The sequence below is a fragment of the Homo sapiens genome, chromosome 15 (assembly GCF_000001405.40).
Source record: "Homo sapiens chromosome 15, GRCh38.p14 Primary Assembly".
In the NCBI taxonomy this organism is placed as follows: Eukaryota; Metazoa; Chordata; class Mammalia; order Primates; family Hominidae; genus Homo; species Homo sapiens.
This window is the reverse complement of record NC_000015.10, coordinates 47934136-47954351: the sequence shown is the minus strand read 5'-3', so window position 1 is coordinate 47954351 and position 20216 is coordinate 47934136. Positions and strand designations below refer to the sequence as shown.

The 20216-nt window shown below is 38.9% G+C and overlaps 1 long non-coding RNA gene across 4 annotated transcripts in view; it reads right to left on the bottom strand.

The window, feature by feature from the left end:
- The window catches only part of LOC124900354 (uncharacterized), a 165186-nt gene that overhangs the window by 95197 nt on the left and 49773 nt on the right, over nucleotides 1–20216 (bottom strand). The window contains exon 2 of one of the 4 annotated variants that reach the window (XR_007064618.1): nucleotides 4611–4996. The exons of the other annotated variants lie outside the window; for them this stretch is intronic. This is a non-coding gene — a long non-coding RNA (uncharacterized LOC124900354). Of the gene's footprint in view, nucleotides 1–4610; nucleotides 4997–20216 lie in introns of those variants that run through there. 4 annotated transcript variants of the gene reach the window in all.

Genomic DNA, 20216 nt, shown 5'->3' with positions numbered 1-20216 from the left:
GAGTCACTGAAGTCAGAAGTTGGAAACATGGCTAAGCTGTCCAGAGTGTGGAACACATGGTCTCTGAAGGTTTTTATTAGTGTGTGGGTGAGAGTTCAGAAGCTCTACTAATTACTTTTGTTTTCAGAATTTATAAAGTTAAGACAGAAAGCGGAATATTAACACTTCACTTCCTCGTGCAGTCATTAATTTACTCACTTAGCATACATTTATTCATAGAAGCTTATTGGTACCAAGTATACCCTCAATGAGCAACCAACCCAAAATTGCAAAAGGGAGATCAAACAGGGAAGCTGTGGTAGGAAGTATCATGGCCTCTTCAAAGATGTCTATATACTAATCACAGAATTTATGTATATGTGATGCTGTATGTCAAGGGAAGATTAAGGTGTGCAGATGGAATTAAGGTTGCTAATCAGCTGACCTTAAAATAGGAGTACTATCTTGGAATATCTGGGTGGGCTCAATGTAATCACAAATGTTCTTAACAGATAGAAGAAGAAGGCAGAGGAGTCAGTGTTGGAGTGATGCCATGTGAGAAAGACTCAACTGGCCATTGCTGGCTTTGAAAATGGAAGGAGGCATAAGCCAAGGAATGAATGCAGGTGCCTCTAGAACCTGGAAAAAGCAAGGAAACAAATTCTCCTCTAGAACCTCCAGAAGGAATGCATTCCTGCCAACACCTTGATTTTTAGCTCGGTGAGACCCATGCTGGACTTCTGACCTGCAGGATTGCAAGATAAGATATTTGACTTATTTTAAGATGCTAAGTTTGCAGTAATTTGATATGGTAGCCATCGGAAACTAATACCGATGCCAAAGCAGTAAAGCAGGAAAGCACTCCAAAATCACAGGAGTGAGAGGAGCAGAAATGTCCTAGGAGAAGACAATGTTTCCTTTTGAAAAGGAAAGTTTACTGGCAACTTCCATTTGAATTTCTTAATTTCTTTCCTCAGTGGCAGTCACTACTTCCAAGGTGGCAGGTTCCAGAGCTGATTCATTATATAATCTTTTCTCAGGAGTATTCTAGCCACCTTTAAAGAAGCTAGGGCCATTTTCCTGACACTGCATCAAGGGGTAAGGTTAGTGGTAAAGAAACCATGCGGTAGGAAAGGCCAACTTTCTCCCTACATAATCCAATCGCATTATCTCCAGACTTGCTCACCCTCTGCTCTTTGCATACTGCAGCTCCAGAGCTTTCATACCTACAGACTTCCTGGAGTTAAGACTAAAACAAGAGTTGTGCTACAGACTACCGTTCCTATTATCATTTTTTGTGTCCTGCTGAGTCCTCCCCTCTTGGCAACTTCAGGACCACCCACTGGGAAGATAATATACAACCCATCAGGAAACTCCCAGTGCCCATCGTGGAGGCCAAGTGCTGCCAACTCTGATTGCTTCTGGAATGCCATTTCTTCCCTGCCCTTTCAATATTCTTGTTATGCGACTCCTATGATCACTGCCAATCTGTAGAAAATTACAGGATGAATTTTTGTGAAGGACTGAATTTGCATACTGGTCTTTTGTTGTTTATTGTTGGGGGGATTTTGCTTTTTGCACACAATTTCTGCACATTTTATTGGAAGTTATTGGGTTAGATTCATCCCATTCATTCACTAGCCTGGCATTGCTATGCATGTGCTGTAGGGGCTTAGCATTAAACGATTTTCTTTGTTCAGATTTGGATTGCTGTCTCTGCTTGCAAATTATTTTTCACAATGACTCCTTCTTTTCCTTCTCTCTCTCTCTCTTTCTCTCTCTCTCTCTCTCACACACACACACAGACACACACACACACACACACACACACACACACACACACACACAGATGAGGTTAGATATTTTTCCATTGCCAAGTTCAGGACCCATGAATACCTTTTCCAAGTTCAGGACTGTGGTAAGTCTTTACATTGGTTCCTGATTATCACACAGCCATTGTGTTCTGCTAAACAAAATAAATTATTAGGGGAAGACCCAGAACCCATATCTGCGTTTTAATAGAGCATAGTTTCTCAACCTTGGTTCCATTGACATTTTGGGCCAAGTAATTATTTGTTGTAGGAGGCTGTCATGAGCATACTGGGATGTTGAGCAGCATCCCCGGCGTCTACCCTCTGGATGCCATTGTCAATATCTCCCCTAGCTGTGAAAATAAAAACTGTCTTCAGGCATTGCCAAATGTTTTTTGAGGGGCAAAATCACCCCTGGTTGAGAACCACTGGAGTGGAGAGATCATAAACACCCAATTTCAAGCAACTTGTTAAGACAGCCTCAAAAATAGTGAACAGGCTCAGCTGTTTGCTCAGCTTTGTGGACCACCTGTGGCCAATTAGCTTGACAAAGTTATTGAGTTACAAGACTTGGACATATGGCCTCAACTACGGCAACTGTATGCGCTCTGTGGGTCAGCTTCACTGGAAGGATTGGGTTACATACATTCCACTTTTCTCTGCCCTTCAACTCCTTAAAGGCAGCTCAGTTACTCACTAACTGATAGTGATGACAGTTTGAGCCAACAACATGGATCCTTTCAATGTATTAGGTTAGTGTAAAAGTAATTGTGGTTTTTGCCATTGAAAGTAATGGCAAAAACCCCAATTATTTTTGCACCAACCTATAGTTGCATGTGCTAAGTAAAAATAGCCACAGATTATTGCTGAAATTATTATTGCTATTGTTGTTATTATTTAACAAGGAAAAAGTTTCCAAAGTTAAGGAATGACATAATAGTATTTTATTGACTTATCCTTTAACAACTATAGATTATTAGCCTTTTCACTGGCCACTATATGTCCTGATGGCATCTTAAATAGATCCCATTGAAGTTCCAACTCTTCATCATTCACCCCCAAAACAGCATTTAAAAAATGTTTCCAATTTCTATTTGTTCTTTCTGTTACCTAGGCTCAAAACAGCACATACAGCAAATGCCTAATTTAGCTACCTTCCTTCAAATGTTCTAACATACAATTACCAGGTTATCTTTCCTAAATCAAAGGTTAGGTTAAAACTTATTTGAAAAATGTTAAATGACTCCCCTGGCTATTTTCTAGCCTAACTTTTAGGACTTTACAGTATCAATCTTCAGGCTGTATTTTTTCGTCTTCTTTCATTCCTTCTCTCCCTCCTTCCTTCCTTCTATTTATTTTCCCAATATTACCTCCTAATCAAGTATTTCTCAAAATGTGTTCTGTGGTTCACCTGAGGAAGAATCAACAAAGCTGATTGTTAAAATGCAGGTTCCTTATCCTACCCCAGAATTTCTGAAGATAAGGCCTGATTATCTCAACAAATGGAAATACATCTATTCTTAAGACTCAGCTTGAACTAACTTCTTTCTTTAAAATGCTTAGTGCTTTTCTTGTGGTACTTCTCATATTCTAACTTGGAGGAGAAGGAGGAAGAGGAAAAGAATGGAGAAGATGGGAAGTGGGGATGGGGCTATAATTTATGTGCCAGGAAGTGTGCTAGGCACTTTACATTGATTGATTTAATTTTTGCAACATCATTATTCACTTCATAGATGTGGAAACTGAGGCTAAGAAAATTTTGTTTACTTGCTCATACTTTATAAAGTACAAGAGCTTCTCACTTCAAAGTCCACAAAGTCAATACTGAGCAATGATCTAGCTCAGTGGAAGGAGCATTGGACAGAGAGTCAAACAATTCTCTGCTTGAATTCTGGCTTTGGCATTTCTTGGTTCCTTCCAGCTGGCCCTAGGGTGTGGCCATCTGCCTGTGGTTCAGAATATGGCCAGGCGATGGAAAGGAGGAGGGATGAGCATGAGAGATGCAAAGGGCAAGGACCTGCAGTGTTTTAAGGACGGTACCTGGAGGGAAAGTAGAGCTTCCAGGGAAGGTGTGTAATATATAATCTGTAATTCTATGTGGCCTTGAGTCCAACTAAAAATCAGAGGAGAATGAATTTAGGGATCTGCTTTCTCTGCTATGTAACCATAATGGACATCTATTGTTTTATCGTGCATTTCCCCTTTTCCAGTTACAGTAATTTGCTTTTCCTCTGGGCACCATCCTTCCCCATCTTGCAATCCATGAGCTTCAGGTGAATCTTATTCCAGACTCCAGGGGAGGACAGATGTTCCAGGTCCAGCCAGTCAGAGAGGGATATATCATTCTAGCCAGGCCAAACGCACCAAAGTGGACCAAGTCCTGAGACTTCACTGGAGAAACTGGCCAAGAGAAGTGCCCTCCCTGACACAGACTGGAAGCTCTGAATAGATAAACAGGTCTGCAGAGACTAAAGCGATCCCAGGCGGAAGCACAGCTGTGAGGCACAGAGGTGGGTCCTGATGACACCACTTGAGGCCCCAGATCAAGCCCTGCTGGAGGCTAGGATCTACCCCCTGCATGTTTTATTTATGAGCTTTAGTAAATTTCTTATTTTGCTTAAGCTACTTTGAATAGGGTTTCCTGTTCCTCATGGGGTGCTAAATAAACAGATTAAAGAAATGATCACTATTAAGATACTCATCTATGAATTTTCCACACCAGCATAACTCTTTGTACGTAATAGATTTTCCAGGATTGATGACTGCGAGAAGGAAAGAAAAAAATGTTTAAGTAACTGAATGAGACTCAGAACAACTCCGTTAAATTAGAAGAATTTCATTAGCCTTTTTTTTGTTCCCGATATTCTCTCGGACCGTGTTTACATTTAGGAGTCACAATTATGAAAAACTAGGCCAGATGGCCTGAGATATTTGTTAGAGCTCATCTCAAGACCTTGAAAAGACACCAGAAAGGGAAGATCTCCCCAGTTCCAGCCAGGCTGTGTCCATATGTGGACATAAAGCCATTCCCAAATAGTTTCCAACTAAACATTTTATTTTCACTCATCATCTATTGCTTGTCTTCCTGGTGATGGCATACAGTGAGGGCAACATTTCAGTGTTGCCAGATGGTGTCCTCATGTAGATAGACAGCTCCGGCTCAGGTCCAGGGGCAAGGGGAAGGAGAAGCACTTCTGCATCAGGCCCTTCAATGGAGGAAAATCAGAAATTCATTCAAGCATTTGTTACTTATCCCCATTTTACTTCCAAAACAGATCTGAGTGGGCTTTCAATAAAAGGCATGTGTACCATAGATTTGTTAAACAAGGATAAGGAAACAAGTGCCATACAAGAAAGGGCAGTTATATCTATCAATTACAAACACTGGAAATGACAGCTACATGTATGGAGGTTTATCATGAGCACAGTTAAGTGCACTGTTCTGAGCACTTAACTTGTACATTCCATTTAATTCTCACAATAACTCTATGATGGCAGTTCCTATCATTATTTGCATTTTATGATAAGGGAACTGAGTACAGAGAGGTTTAGTGATCAGCTCACAGTCATACATCAGTTTTATATATATATATATATATATATATATATAAAACATAGCTGAGCCAGAATTTGAATCCATATAGTCTAATTCAGGACATGGGCTAGGCAGAGATAAGGGTCATCGTTTGAGAGCCCATCAGCGGGGTTTGAATCCCTGCTATTCTGCTTACTAGCCGATGACTCTAGCAAGTCACTTCCCTTCTTTAAGCTTCAGGTTGTACATCTATAAAATGAAGGTAATGATACTTGTCTCCTGGTTTTGCATTGAAGACTAACAGAGATAAACAATGACTGGTACAAAGTAAGTATGAGATACATAGAACTATGTATTGCAACCCTTTGTTATCTTGTTTAAATAATAATCTAATACTATTCCAATAATCTAACCATAAATAATCTAATGTTAAATAAATGCTAGATTATTAGCATTAGCCATAGAACCAGGAATGCCTTTTCTTCTTTCCAATGTCATTTGTAAAGAATATCATTTATCTTTGACCACTTCATTTTGGTGGCATTGCCAATCTTGTACCTCCATGACAAATGACAAAACTTTAAAAAATAAGAGAATATTCCAGGGCTTCAAACTGGACAAAAGAGAAGCAGTGATGGGATGTGAAATAATAACACAGTGCAGAGCACATGTCTGTCAGTTTTCCTTACTGAGTATGCAAATCCCCAATAAAGCTCATCAAATACAAAAGTAGGATTTAGCTGGTATGGCCCAGCTCCCCTTTGCTGTGTGCTTGGGAAATTAGCTTTTCTTTTTGTTCAGCGAATAAATAACAGACTCCCTAACTGAGTGTCCTCAGAACCATAAGAAAGAGTGACATTGTCATTCAGGGCTACTGACACGAGAAAAAGATGGGGCTCTGAAGTCAACTAGCAAGTGATGATGCAGCGGGATGGTCCTGTGATAGAGATCATGAAGGGGATGTCACCAGTGGCCTGAATACACTCTTATGTTAATTGTGTGTGGAAAGACACAATGATGTACAAGCAGCCTGTGCTTAATTACTTGAAAAGCCTTAAGTTCAAGTACTCGTGTGTGTGTGTGTGTGTGTGTGTGTGCGTGTACGCGAGCGCCTGTATGCAGGTATGCATTCCTTTAAGTCAAATAACCAAAAGTCGGTGAGGGGGAATCATATACTTTTGATATTAATTCTGTTTCTGCAAACTTCGGGCGTGAGCAGTCCACTTTGTGTCATTCTGAACATTGCTGACCAGGTCAAAGGGTCAAGCAGGAGCATGTGGGTTCAGGATAGAATGTCCTGCGCCTTGCTTTTTGGGATCTTGATCTTAATCAGGCTAGGACAGTCAGGCCCCTGCTCGAATTACTCATTAATCTAATAGAGCTCCTTCTAGGGGGAAAAAAGCAAAAATAACTTCCATTGAAACCCTTGACTTGAGGCTTCTACTTAAGGGAGGAGGCAGTGTCCCTGGGAGCCTCCTTGAGGCTTGCAGAAACATGCTCAATTCAGGGACTAAGCTGATTTTATTTTTATTTGAGACAGAGTCTGTCGCCCAGGCTGGAGTGCAGTGGCGCGATATCGGCTCACTGTAAGCTCCGCCTCCCGGGTTCACTCCATTCTCCTGCCTCAGCCTCCCGCGTAGCTGGGACTACAGGCGCCCGCCAGCACGCCCGGCTAATTTTTTGTATTTTTAGTAGAGACGGGGTTTCACCATATTAGCCAGGATGGTCTCGATATCCTGACCTCGTGATCCACCCAACTCGGCCTCCCAAAGTGCTGGGATTACAGGCGTGAGCCACCACACCCAGCCTAAGCTGATGTTTTATCTCTGTTCCCTCCTCCCCTACTAGTCTCACATCTATTTTTTCCCCTTTTTCTTACTTTCTTCATTTCATCTTTGTCTTCTATCTCTTTCTTCATTCTCTTGTTCATTTTTCCTTTCTCCTTTTCCTTATTTTTAAAACATTCCCTAATATGTTTGTGCTATACAACCAGCGGAAGCGATAAAGAGGTTGGGGAAGTAACTCATGCCAACTTGAGATCCGGGCCATGCTAACCATTTCTCAGGTTTGCATTAAATCCAGACTCAACTCAAGCTAATTCCATTACTCAGGCGTGTCATGGCACACTCCTAAAGGTTAGCATTCACTGTAGCAAAATAAAACACTATGTGGTATGATTTTATTATATCCGGTGATACACACGAATGATTAAGAGAAAACCCAAAGAGCTCTTCTTTCTTTAAACGCTTTCCAGTTTCTAGAATTAATATAAATGTATTGCAGCTGATGGGCAGGACTCCTGGGTTTTCCAGTTTCTTCAATTCAAGACATCTAAAGTTAAATGTTCTTGTTAACGGAGGTAAACTTAACTCTGAGCCAAAGGCAGACAAATCACCTCAAAAATTGCCTTTTAGTAAAAGGCCTAAATGTAACTTGTTCTATTGCCATGTGGTCTCAATTCACAAGAAAAAAAAATTGTAGAAAGAACACGGTGACTTCACCAGCTGTAATCACTCTGAAAAGACATTCAGTTTCTGGATTTCACCAGACTCTGCTTGGGGAATGACATGGTCCTGTTAGTAACAGGTAGTCCCCAGGGGCTCTGCCTACAGCTGAGTGAGTGATGTGTTTTTACCTCCAGCATGGCAAGCTACTGGAAAGCCCTTCATAGCCTCTGCAAGGGCTTGGAGAGGTGTCTGGGGAGAAAGCAAAGTTTTTAAAGGGTTGGCTGGTCTTCTGGGGTTTCACTGGCTTGCCAGAATGCTATTCCACTTCATCTTAAAAATAATATTTCGATCCCAGACCATACCATGTTTCTGGCTAAATGTTACACTTGACAAGCTTTACGCAAATTACCATACACAGTCACATACCGTTTGCAGCTGATTCCATTTTTAGCAATGTCAAAGGGAAGAAGGAATCTCAGAAGGGTGAGTGCATTTGATACGCCTGATACTGCTCTCTGAAGGTCAACTCCACACATGCCTTCCCCGTAGGCCAGCATTCCCAGCCTCTTCAGACAGCTCCCTCCTGCATGACAAACTTCTGGGCTCTGCAAAGTCTCCCCTCCCAGACCTGATCCATTTCCTTCTCCTTCAGGCCAAGGAGGAAATCTAGATGGTTCATTTCAAGGCTAATCTTTGATACCCATGGTCCTCCACTTCCATTAATGAGAGTGGCCTGCTAAATTGCTAGTCTAATTTGTGTCTCTGGAAAAGAGGAAGGAAAGGTGACAGTTATGAATGCAATCTGTGTGTGTGCTTGCATGCATGGGTGTCTTTGTGGATCTGCATCAACATTCGTGTCCCCAGCCACAGCCTTTTTGGAATTATCTTTGTGTAAAAGCACAAGTTAGGGTGAATTCAGGCTTGGAGAAGAAATCAGCACCACCTCTCATAGCTTACCCTGGAGACCGTTTATATGCTGACTAGAAGCTTACCTCTCTGTTTTTCTTCCTTTGTTTTCAGTTTTACTATGAAATACTACAAACATACAAAAGAAGGAATATAATGTGTATAATATGAATGAACATATACATATTTATATACACATTCTCATTTGTGTGTATATGTATCTGTGTATAATATTTAACATAAAGTGAACACTTCATATGTAGCATACTGCTTCAGACAAAAAGGACCACAATAGGTTACCTACATCTTTGAGGCAACCCCAGTTGAATTCTGTTCCTCTCCTCCTAATGTTTATAATTCCCTCCTGTTTTATTGCATTTTGTTACATGTGTAAGTTTCCCTAAAATAGCTTTGTTACATCTATGTGTTTTTAAAATTACATAAATAGAATACTTTATGTGATTGCTATTTGCTTTTTCCACTCAATATGACTTTGGGATTTATCTGTGGTAATAGTCATGACTGTAGTACTCATTTCTACCACTGTATAGCATTTTATGCTATAGCTGCACCCCAGCTTATTACCCATTCTACTGTGTATGGGCATTGTGCTCCTCCTGGTTTCATACCAATATGACCAGTGCTTCTGTGATCATTCTCCTGTCTGATTCCTTGTGCACATATGCAGAATTTTCTCTAGGGCACAAAATATGTGTGAAAGAGCAGGGCCGTGGGGTAGGTCCACCATCAGTTTTATTGCCTCGTGCCAAATTGTTTTCCAAAGTAGTTGTATAAATGTACATCCCCACTGGCAATATATGAAAGATCAGCCTGTCCTACAGCCTTGCCAACATTTGGGGTTGCCAGACTTTAGAATGCTTGCCAATCTGATGTGTATGAAAGAGTACGTCATTGGGATTTTAATTTGTACTTCTCTGAATACTAACGAGGCTGAGCACCTTTTCATATGTTTATTGGTTGTTTATATTTCCTCTTTTGCATTCATGTCTTTTGGCTATTTTTCCTCGGGGTATTTTTTTTTGTCTTTTATTTGATATACAAGTCTTAAAAAAACTATATTCTGTTTGTTTTTTTTCCATGTGATAAATGTCTTTTTACTTTCTGTATTATGCCCTTTGATAAACAGAAGTTTTAAATTTTTATTTAGTCAAAATATATTTTCTGCCGTGGTTACCTTTTTCATCATGTTTAAGGAATCATACCTGACATCAAGATCATAACAGTATTTTTCTGCTTCATCTACTAAAAGTTTTCAAGTTTTGTTTTCATACTTAAGCATTTAATACATCTGTAATTGGTTTCTATGCGTGGCATGGGAAGAAAAATTTTTTGTTTCAAATGGATGACCACGTATATATAAGTCTGCTTTGGCTGCCATAACAAAATATTACAACGTGGTATTTTGGATGGAGTAATCAACAAAAATTTATTTTCTCACCATTCTGGAGGCTAGAAGTCTAAGAGCAAGGTGCCATCAAGTTGGTTTCTGGTGAGAACTCTCTTCCTGGCTTGTAGACTGTTGCTTTCTCCCTGTGTCTCCACATGGCCTCTTCTCTTTGTGCTCACAGAGAGAGAGAGATCTCTGTTGTCTCTTCTTACAAGGGCACCAGTCTTGTCAGATCAAAGTTCCATCCTTATAACTTCATTTAACTTGTATTACCTTCTTATAGCTCCTATCTCTATTTAAATACAGTCACATGAGGAGTTAGAGCTTCAACATAGTTCTGGAGGGACACAATTCTGTCCATAACAAATGCCTCACCACATTACTATTTACTGCACAGTGTACGTTCCCCCCTCTCCCACCTCTGTCACATATCAGGTTTCCATATATGTGGGGTTCTGTATTATACAGAGTTCCATTCTGAGTTCTACATTATGTTCCATGGATCTATTTGCTACACTTGTGCCAAGATCATGCTCTTAACTATTAAAGCTGTGCAATAAGTTATGATTTTTGTTAGTCTTTTTGTCTTATTATTCTTCCTTAGGATTATAACAACTACTCTAACCTTTTGTTCTTCTACATGAATTTTAGAATCAACTTGTCAACTTCCACTAAGAACCCAATACGAATTTATATTAGAATTTTCTCAAATCTACAAATCAATTTGGAGAGAATGAATGTATTTACAATAGTGATTGTTTGGATCTTTGAACATGCTGCCTGCTTTCTTCTGTCCCTTTCTCTCTCCTTTTTCTCTTCCTCCCTCCCTTGCTTTCTATCTTCCTTTTTTCCTTCCTCCTTTCCTTTTTCCTCTCTTCTTCTTTCCCTCCCTTTCCCCATTCCCCATTCTCTCTTCACAGGCAAATATTCTAATTTGTTTGATGTGAATCTTTTGGTTTGTGTTATTGTAGCATATGTTTCAGCATGTATTTTAATTTTTTAAATGATATTGCATAATATATTTCTCTAATTCTTTTCTTCTCAGCCTTGTTTTTCACATATATTTAGGTGTTTTTATGCATATCTAGGCATTCTAACTGCTGCAAAGAACTCCAAAATGTGAAGCTACTTTATCTTACATATTCGCTCCTCTAGTTATGGTTACCTAATTATGGTTATAGGAATATTCCAACTTTGTTACTTATAAACCTGGAAATTTATAATTTTTTTCTAGAAATGTATTAATATCTATTCTTATAAACTTGGTAACATAATTTTTTACTGCCATTAAGTACTAACTATACTCCCTTATTAAATTTTAATCTATGCTATATCTGCAGTTAGAGCGCTTTTTCATTTCTAGCATTTTCTGTGTGTTCTTCCTTGATTTTTCTCTTGACTGATTTTCCCATAGGTTTGGTTATTTTATTAACCTCTTTCTAAGCTGTCTTTCAAATTTTTGGTTCTTTGTGTGATAACTTTGTTTTCCATTTCATCTACCATCTTCGCTGTTATTAGAGACTTTGTGATAAAGAATCTCTAACATTTATTGAGGGACTGGCATGAGACAGGTATCATTACATTATCTTATTTTGTCCTCATGATAACTTTAAAGGGAAGATGATAATATTGTACCTATTGTACAAATTAGGAAGCTTTGTGAAAGTCATAGGCCCAGCTAATCACAAAGCTGGGATTTGTACCATTCCTCTATTTTGTTTGAACTAGAACTCAAAGAATAAAGACAATGTTTAGTTCCAAGGAATAAATTAAAAATGCTGGGATTTTGGTTATGATATGAAGCCATAGAAAATTTTTGTTGAATTTGGAGTCGAGGCTAGTCAGTTCATAGCTGCTGCCTTCAGCCGTACTTCTGTTCTATGGATGGCAGAATGAGAGACTCTAATTATCATATGAGTCCTATCTAGACATTTTCTTTCCAGATATGTCTAAGCCAAAAATAATTGTTGTATATGTAATGGAGGGCTTCCTCCAAGTTATCAAATTGTCTTGTAATAGATGATAATTTTTTTTTGTATTTGAGTGTTGAGTTAGCTTATTTGCAATCAGTGTTCAAAGCATTTGCAAATGTTGCCTCTAGCTCTCACACTTCTCACAACTTCAGCAGCCTGTGAGATAAACAGGATAGTTATTATTCCCACCCTACAGATGTAAATAAGAGAAGCTGAATATCTTGCTCAAGGTCACATACATAGTGAGAAGCAGAATAATTTGAGAATACAGTCTGACTTCCATCTTGTTCATTGCTTTTAAAATTCATTCATTCCACATATACTTATTAAAGACCCTCTACGTGTAAGGTACAGTGTTGGGCATTGTAGTGTAATAGAAAGTTGTGTAAGTCATAGATATATGATACTCATAAAAATAATTACAATAAAAATGTTATATGAGAGATTTAGGTAAAGGCTTATGGGAAATTCAGAAGAGGGGGAGAATTTACCTTTTAGTGGAATTAAGAGGAAGATTCCAATATTTTTCTACTATGCTCCAAATCAATCATAAGAATTAGTCAAGATCAACAACGTGTTTTGGGAAACCTTGCAACGTAGTATTACATTGTATCCAATAGACTAAACGGACCAGAATGTCAAAGAAAATTCTGGAAAGAGATGAGTAAACTGGGTAGCTCAATGTACTGTAATACTACCCACAGCTGAATTTGAGGAACTTCCCAGATTTCTATAAGACTGTGGTAAGATCACCATTCACTATTAGACGCTGCCCACTTCTCCTCTATTGTAATCAAAAATGGTTGTAAATGAAAGAGATGTCTCTCTTTTCTCTAAGAAATCATCAGGAATAAATGCCATCATGCCTCATATACCTTAGTACCAAAAGTATATCTCTTTCACAAATTTGAGAACCCACATCATCAAAGAACATGCGGAAATATCTCCATATATAAAGATCTATATTCTCTAATCATCTAAATCCTTCCACCTTTTTCTCTCTCTCTCTCTTTCTTTCTCCCTTCCTTCCTTCCTTTCCTTCTTCCATTCTTCCCTTCTTTCCTTTCTTTCCTTCCTTTCCTTCCTTTCCTTTCTCTCTTTCTCTTTCTTTCTTTCTTTTTTGTTTTTGAGATGGAGTTTTGCTCTTGTCACCCAGGCTAGAGTGCAATGGTGCGATCTTGGCTCACTGCAACCTCCGCCTCCCAGGTTCAAGTTATTCTCCTGCCTCAGCCTCCCGAGTAGCTGGGATTACAGGCACCAGCCACCATACCTGGCTAATTTTTGTATTTTTAGTAGAGACAGGGTTTCATCATGTTGGCCAAGCTGGTCTCGAACTCCTGACCTCAGGTGATCCACCCGCCTTGGTCTCCCAAAGTGCTGGTATTACAGGCATGAGCCACCATGCCTAGCCTGTCCTTTCTTTGGAATAATCTCTCGCATCCTCAGTCTCTCCTTTGAACACTCATTCCTTTATTTTATGATTTATCTAAAACCTAATTGTCTCCTAAAAGGAGGACACTACTTTCCTTGAAGCCCTCTTAGGGGTATCTGCTTTTCCCCACACAATGCCCACATCATAAACTAAAGAGATGGTGATTGGAGCCCTTCTTATTCATCATTGTTTTTCTAGGTCTTTTCTTTTCTTTTTTATTTCAAAAATCTTTTGAGGCATATGTCATTAGACTAAACTACCTTCTACTATTCCATCTTGCAATCATTTTCTGGCCTTTCAGTCATACAACTTATTGAAGATTTTAGCACTCAGTTAATGGTATATCTCTGTCAGTATTCCTTAATCTCTCTCTCTCTTTCTTTCCTTTCTTTCCTCTCTTTCCTCTCCTTCCTTTCTTTCTTTCTTTCTTTCTTTCTTTCTTTCTTTCTTTCTTTCTTTCTTTCTTTCTTTCTTTTCTCTTTCTTCTCCTTCCTTCCTTCCTTCTCTCTCTCTCTCTCTTTTCTCTTTCCTTTTCTTTTGACATAGGGTCTCTCTCTGTCATGGTACAATCATAGCTCACTCCAACTTCCAACTTTTGGCCTCAAGCTGTCCTCCCACCTCAGCCTGCAGACTATCCAGTAATCATTCTTGATTACTTCAACAATTATCTAGATCTTCCATTCAACAACTTTCCTCTCAGATCTTTTTACTTTGATGTTTTCAACCAATCGACCTCAGCCATTCACTCCACTCACTCTCATAATTAAACTCTGAACCTCATTATTACCTTTAACTTTTCCAAATATCAATTTCAGGCATTCCAATCTTTGACAATCACTCTTAATTTTCTAACATATTTATTCCAGTACTCAAACCGCAAAAGCCCTTTGACCCACAGAGACCATCAGTTTGTTGCCCATTCATCTCTTTCCTTTACATCAAACCTCTCTTCTCATTTCCATCTTTTCAAACTAGACTAAATTCTATGGTCCATCAGTCCCTCGCATACAACCTAAACAACCTTTCCCCTTTTCTTTCCATAGGATTCATTTTGCAAGAGCACAAACTTGGTTAATTAAAACTCTCCACATCCCCTCTCCTTGCATCTGAGCAGAGCATGGCCAGAAAAAAAAAATCTACTATTATGCTGCATGGACTCACTTGAAATTTTAAACCACAAAACTCAAACAAACCCTCAGCACTGCCCAACCAATTTTCTTTGTCTCTCTAGGCAATTTGCTTTTCCACTCTTTGGGAAGATTATTTCACACCTTCTGTCTCTTCAAACCTGTTCTCCCCTTCTCACTCAGAGCAGATGATCTCACTTCCTATTTCACTGAAGAATAAGAACAATCAGAAGAGAAAATGTATCTTTCAACACAAAATTTGTCAGTCTAAATATATCTGTACCCCTATCTTCTGCCTTCATTCCTGGTAAGTGGGATAATCTTTCCTAGTTCCTATCAAATGCTTGGGTACTGGATCTCATCTCCTGTAAACTACTCAAGGACTCTGGTCTTGAAATTCTCCCCTTCACTCCTGCATCATCAGTTTCTCCCTTTCTATTTGGTCATTTCCATCAATGAGAAGACATGGTAGAATATCCGTTTTTAGGGAAGAATTCCTCATTCATTCTCCCAGGGCAGGAAAAATAAATGTTGTGATTGGTAAATGGAGGAGTTGAGCTCAGATCTTTCTTCCTTTCACTTTCCTCCTTGGGCTCCCCCTGCCTGGAGAAAGCCCACATTCTATTTCTTTCCTTAAAATTATGTTTTAAAAGGGTAGACCCCCATGAGGAAGGCCCACAATTGTTCAGAGCTGCCAGGAACTGGGCAGATAAGTCTGCTTAATTCTCGGTACAATATTATTAATTGTATTTTAGCTAATAGACTTAAATCCACCTACCAACACTTTTGTCAGTAATGAAAGTAATATTTTGATCTTTGACTGCCTGTTTCCTATCTCTCAGTAGATTCAGAATTTGGTCATATATAAAGATAATGTTTTTTACTGGATTCTCTCAAATCCCAGAATCTCCTATCTTAAAAATGTTGCCTAGATCTTGTCTTTCTCCATCTCTCACCCTATTATTAGAAATGCCCTCTTTTAAAGCAAAGCTCCCCAGTAAATTTGGTCTAACTCACTGTCAACTCGTTCTTACCTCCTCTTACCTCTTCAGACTTTCAGTCCCAACACAATGCTAAATTGATTCTGTCAAGACCACTGGCAACTTACATCTTGCTAAATCCAATGGTCAATTTCCAGCACTCGAATTACACAATCTCTCAATCTCGTTTGCCACAGTTGATTACTCTATGTTTCTTAAAGTGTTTTTTCTCCTTCCTGGCTTCCTGAATTCGACTTTTCTTCTTGGATACCACTGAGGTAGGTTTTCATCCTGCTTCACAGATGAGCTCGGTGGCCACTTCCTTTTCATTCTTCATTCCCTTCCCCACCCCACCTAATAACTTTCATATTATCATTCCCTTATTGTCCTTAACCCACCTCCATCCCATTTTCCCCACCATTAGTATACTAGCTAACTTAGGCACTCTGTGACTTTGGCTCTTTTCTTTTCTTTTCTCTTTCTTTCTTCCTTCCTTCCTTTCTTTCTTTCTTTTCCGTCTTACTTTTTTTCTCTTTCTCTCTTTCTTTCTTTCCTTACTTTTCTTTCTTTTCCTTCTTCCTTTGTTTTTTCTCTTTCTCTCTTTCTTTTCCTTTCTTTCTTACTTTTCTTTCTTTGTTTCTTTCCTTCCTCCCTCCCTTCCTCTGTTCCTCCCTTCCTTCTTCCCTCCTTCTTTCCTCCCTTCTTCTTTCCCTCCTTTCTTCCTTCCCTCCCTCCTTCACTTCTTCCCTCTCTCACTTCTTTCCTTCTTTCCTTCCTTCCTTTTTTCTTTTCTTCCTTCCTTCCTCCCTCTTTCCCTCCTTTTTTCCTCCCCTCCCTCCCTCACTTCTTTCCTTCCTCCTTTCTTTCTTCCTTCCTTGCTTCCTTCCTTGCTCCCTCCTTCCCTGCCTCCCTTCCTCCATCTCGTCCTTTCTTCCTTCCTTTCTTCTCTCTCATTCCCAATGTTCTCACAGAAGATTCCTTTCACTTCCAGCCCCAACTGAAACCTGGCTGTCCTCTAATAATGCCACTTTATTTGGCGATATGTATTTAAAAAAAAAATTGACTCCAAAATTCTATTTATAGAAATATGTATTTATAGAAATATATCCTAAGGGAAGAATATGAGAAAAAATATGTAAGCAAATATGTCCATCTCAACAATAGTCATAATGGTGAAAAAACCTCAAAAACAAATATAAATATTTGTTAATTGGAGGGTACAAAAATTAGCAAACAGAACTAGATATGTATCTATTAACATGGGAAAATGTTGTTATTTTAAGAAAGATAAAAGTCCCAGGTTATAAGATAGCAAGAAAATTACGATCCAATGTTTACCTATGAAACAATATATGGTAAATTGCACATACATGTAAGTTAGTTTACATAAAGATAGGGTTTTAAAAAATTGTATCTTTTCTCTTCCTGTTCCTTTGTTGGACCCAGGTTAGTGGAAGGAGAGGATGAAGAGGTGCTGGGTGAGACTTTCTAAGTTTGGAAGTGAGAACACAGATCAGAAAGGAAAAGATTGATAAACTGATTACATAATAACTTGTGTACATTCATATAGACAGATGTTTCACATAAATATATAAGGCTGGAAAACATTATCAGTAAATGTGGCATGATTATGTAAATATATCATTCAAACTGATAAGAAAATCAGTAAGCCTAAAGTAAGAAGCAGATATGAACAGCAAATGTTTCTAGAAGTAGAACTGACAGAAATAATGAAAGAATGCCCAGGCTCACTAGAAATCAAATGTCAGCTGAAGCTGCAATGATGCAATCTCCCCATTAAACTAGTAAGTTAGTAAACTATAGATGTAAATGTGTATGTTTACATATGTATATGTGCCCATATATGAGTATCTCCACATACATATGTGTGTACACACACACACACTCACACACACATACACACACACACACACTTACACACACTCACTCTACCCTACCAGGTTATAAAAGTTCCATGAGGGAGAAACTATTTTGTGTGATTGAATGCTTTATCCTGGGCACCAAGATCAGTGATAGAAACTTAGTAAGTGCTTAATAAATATCTGTTGAATGAATAAATGCCAGTGAAGTTATGGTGAAACTGATACACATTTTTAAATAACTTATTCTATTACTATAGCTTCCCAATTTGCAAAATCATTTCAAAATTATGAGTATTTCATATCTGTTTAACTTTTTCAGTTTCCAAACATAATAAAATATATATATTGACCCAGTCCTTTAAAAAAGTTTAATTATTTGATTCTAGTTTTTTAATGTTTTTCCTGTCCTTTATTTAGCAATGTAATCTACTTATTTATATCGTGTTTTAGTGCAACTTACAAGAAAAATAACGTGTCAGAGAAAATTGCATTGTAAATGTAAAAATGCAAATCAAATAAAAATTCCATTACAAATCACTCGTGAGGCGATCTCTAACATCGATTTCAGGACAAAATATCACTGAAACAGCCACTGCCTTATTATGCAGACTATAAAATACGCTTTAAGAAAATGGCAAAAGGTCAAGGTCTTTCTCTTTCTCTTTTTCCAGTCAGGTCAGGTAAATAATAGGGCATTAGAATGAAAAACTATTATATTTCTTACTCTGGGGCTGAAAACCATGGAATATTTACAACATGCATAACTCTAAAAGTGCTAGCCTTTCATTTTAACTTTGAAGTTTGAGTGATTTTGGTTGGAAATATGCATAGATATATCACAATTCAATTGAGAATTAAAAGACAGGGCAAATCTTTGAGGGAGTGGGCACCTTGGTGTTGTGACCTGAGAAGCCCCACAGTTGTCACGGCCCAGCCGTCGAGATGCAGACCTTTGGGCAAACAAGCATTCATTCATCTTTGAAATCCTACAACAAAGCAAATCTGGAGATTTACTACCAAAATGTTACTTCCTGGGCATTTTTGCCATCATAAACCTTCCACTGACCTTCCTCTTCCCCCTCCACAGTAAGGAAGGAAGACACTTTTTAACTCCCAACAGCAATCAGTAATACTCACCTTTCCACTTATTGTTTGTGAAAGCAGACTAGTGTAAGGGAAACTAGTTAAACCCATTGGATTGGAATTTAAGAAACCAGTTCAATTCTAACTCTGTCATATGTAAATTCAGAGAAGTCATTAAATTAATCTAAGCCTTAGATTGCTTGTCTATGTAATAAAACTAATAATATCAGTTCCACCTGCCTTCCAAGAGTGTTATAAAATTATATGGTGGTAGTGTTCAAGTAGTATGTACATTGTATTATTCTTTTTGCAGCTTTTTCACTCTCATCCTTGAGATTTTGGACCTTACTTCAAAAGCAAATACTCTTCAGGAAACTAATCCTCCAACCTAGCAATCAGTCATTTTTCCTTTAGTTAGCTCCAACATAGCATCTGCTTTCTTCTTAAGAGTGTGGCGGGGCAGGATTGAGTTTTAATTCATAGAAGAGATGGAGAGAAGTAATTTTAAAATATAAGACACTGCCTAACGTAAGGCTGAAAGGCCCTCCTAGCTGATCTTTTCTATTCCCTTCATGTATCTCTCAGCAATGTACTCATAAGTCTCCAACTGGTATGTACACTCTTAGCCCTCTCTTCCAGTTTGAACCCAATTCATCTGCCCATCTCCTAGACACCTGCAATCAACTGATCTCCATTGAACTCATCAGTTCCCGTGTGCATTTTCACCAAACCCGTCTCAGTCCATGGACATGCCACTCTAATCACTGCCCAAGCCAGAAACCTCACAGGTATCTTACATTCCAACTTCTCTCAACACTCATATTTTATGATCAACCAGTCCTGAGAATTCTGTCTGAACTATCTTTCTGAATAGTCCCTCTCTCTTATATCTTTACTGCCACTTTCCTATTTCAAATTCCCATCTATTCTATGTCCAGTCTATAGAATATAACCTTCAAAGACAAACCTCCCAGTTAGACTCCCCTCTTGGTGACTCTCTGCCCCTTGTACCAACCCCATATTCCTCAAGCTTTAGCCTCCCTGGCTGGCCCTGTCTTCCCAGAGTGCCTTGCACACTGTCCTAAGCCTGGTCCCTAGATTCACTCCTTTCTTGACTGAAATGTCTTCTTTTCAAATGACACACTTAGACTCTTCACTCCCCAACTCTAGACTCTAGCTTTCTGACAGGCAGACTCTGTGGTCCCATAACATGTCTATACCATTATTCTAAGACTTATAGCCTAGCACCCTTCAAAATTGTGAGCTTCCAAAGAGCATGGCTTGTTTCACATTCAGTTTCATATCTCTAGTGACTGGCCAAAATGCATGGATTATATTAGGTGCTTGCTATGATCTGAATGTGTCCTCTAAAATTCATATGTTGGAACTTAATCACCAATATAATAGTATCAAGAAGTGGGGTCTTTAGGAGGTGATCAAGTTGTGGGGGCAGAGCCCTCATGAGTAGCACTAATGACCTTATAAAATGGCTGGAGGGAGCTGGCATTGATCCCTTCTGCCCTTCTGCCTCCCGCCATGTGAGGACACAGTGTTAGTCCCCTCCCAAAGATGCACCAAGAAGGCACCATCTTGGAAGCAGAAGACAGGGCCTTCACCAGACACTGAACCTTCCAGCACCTTATCTTAAAATT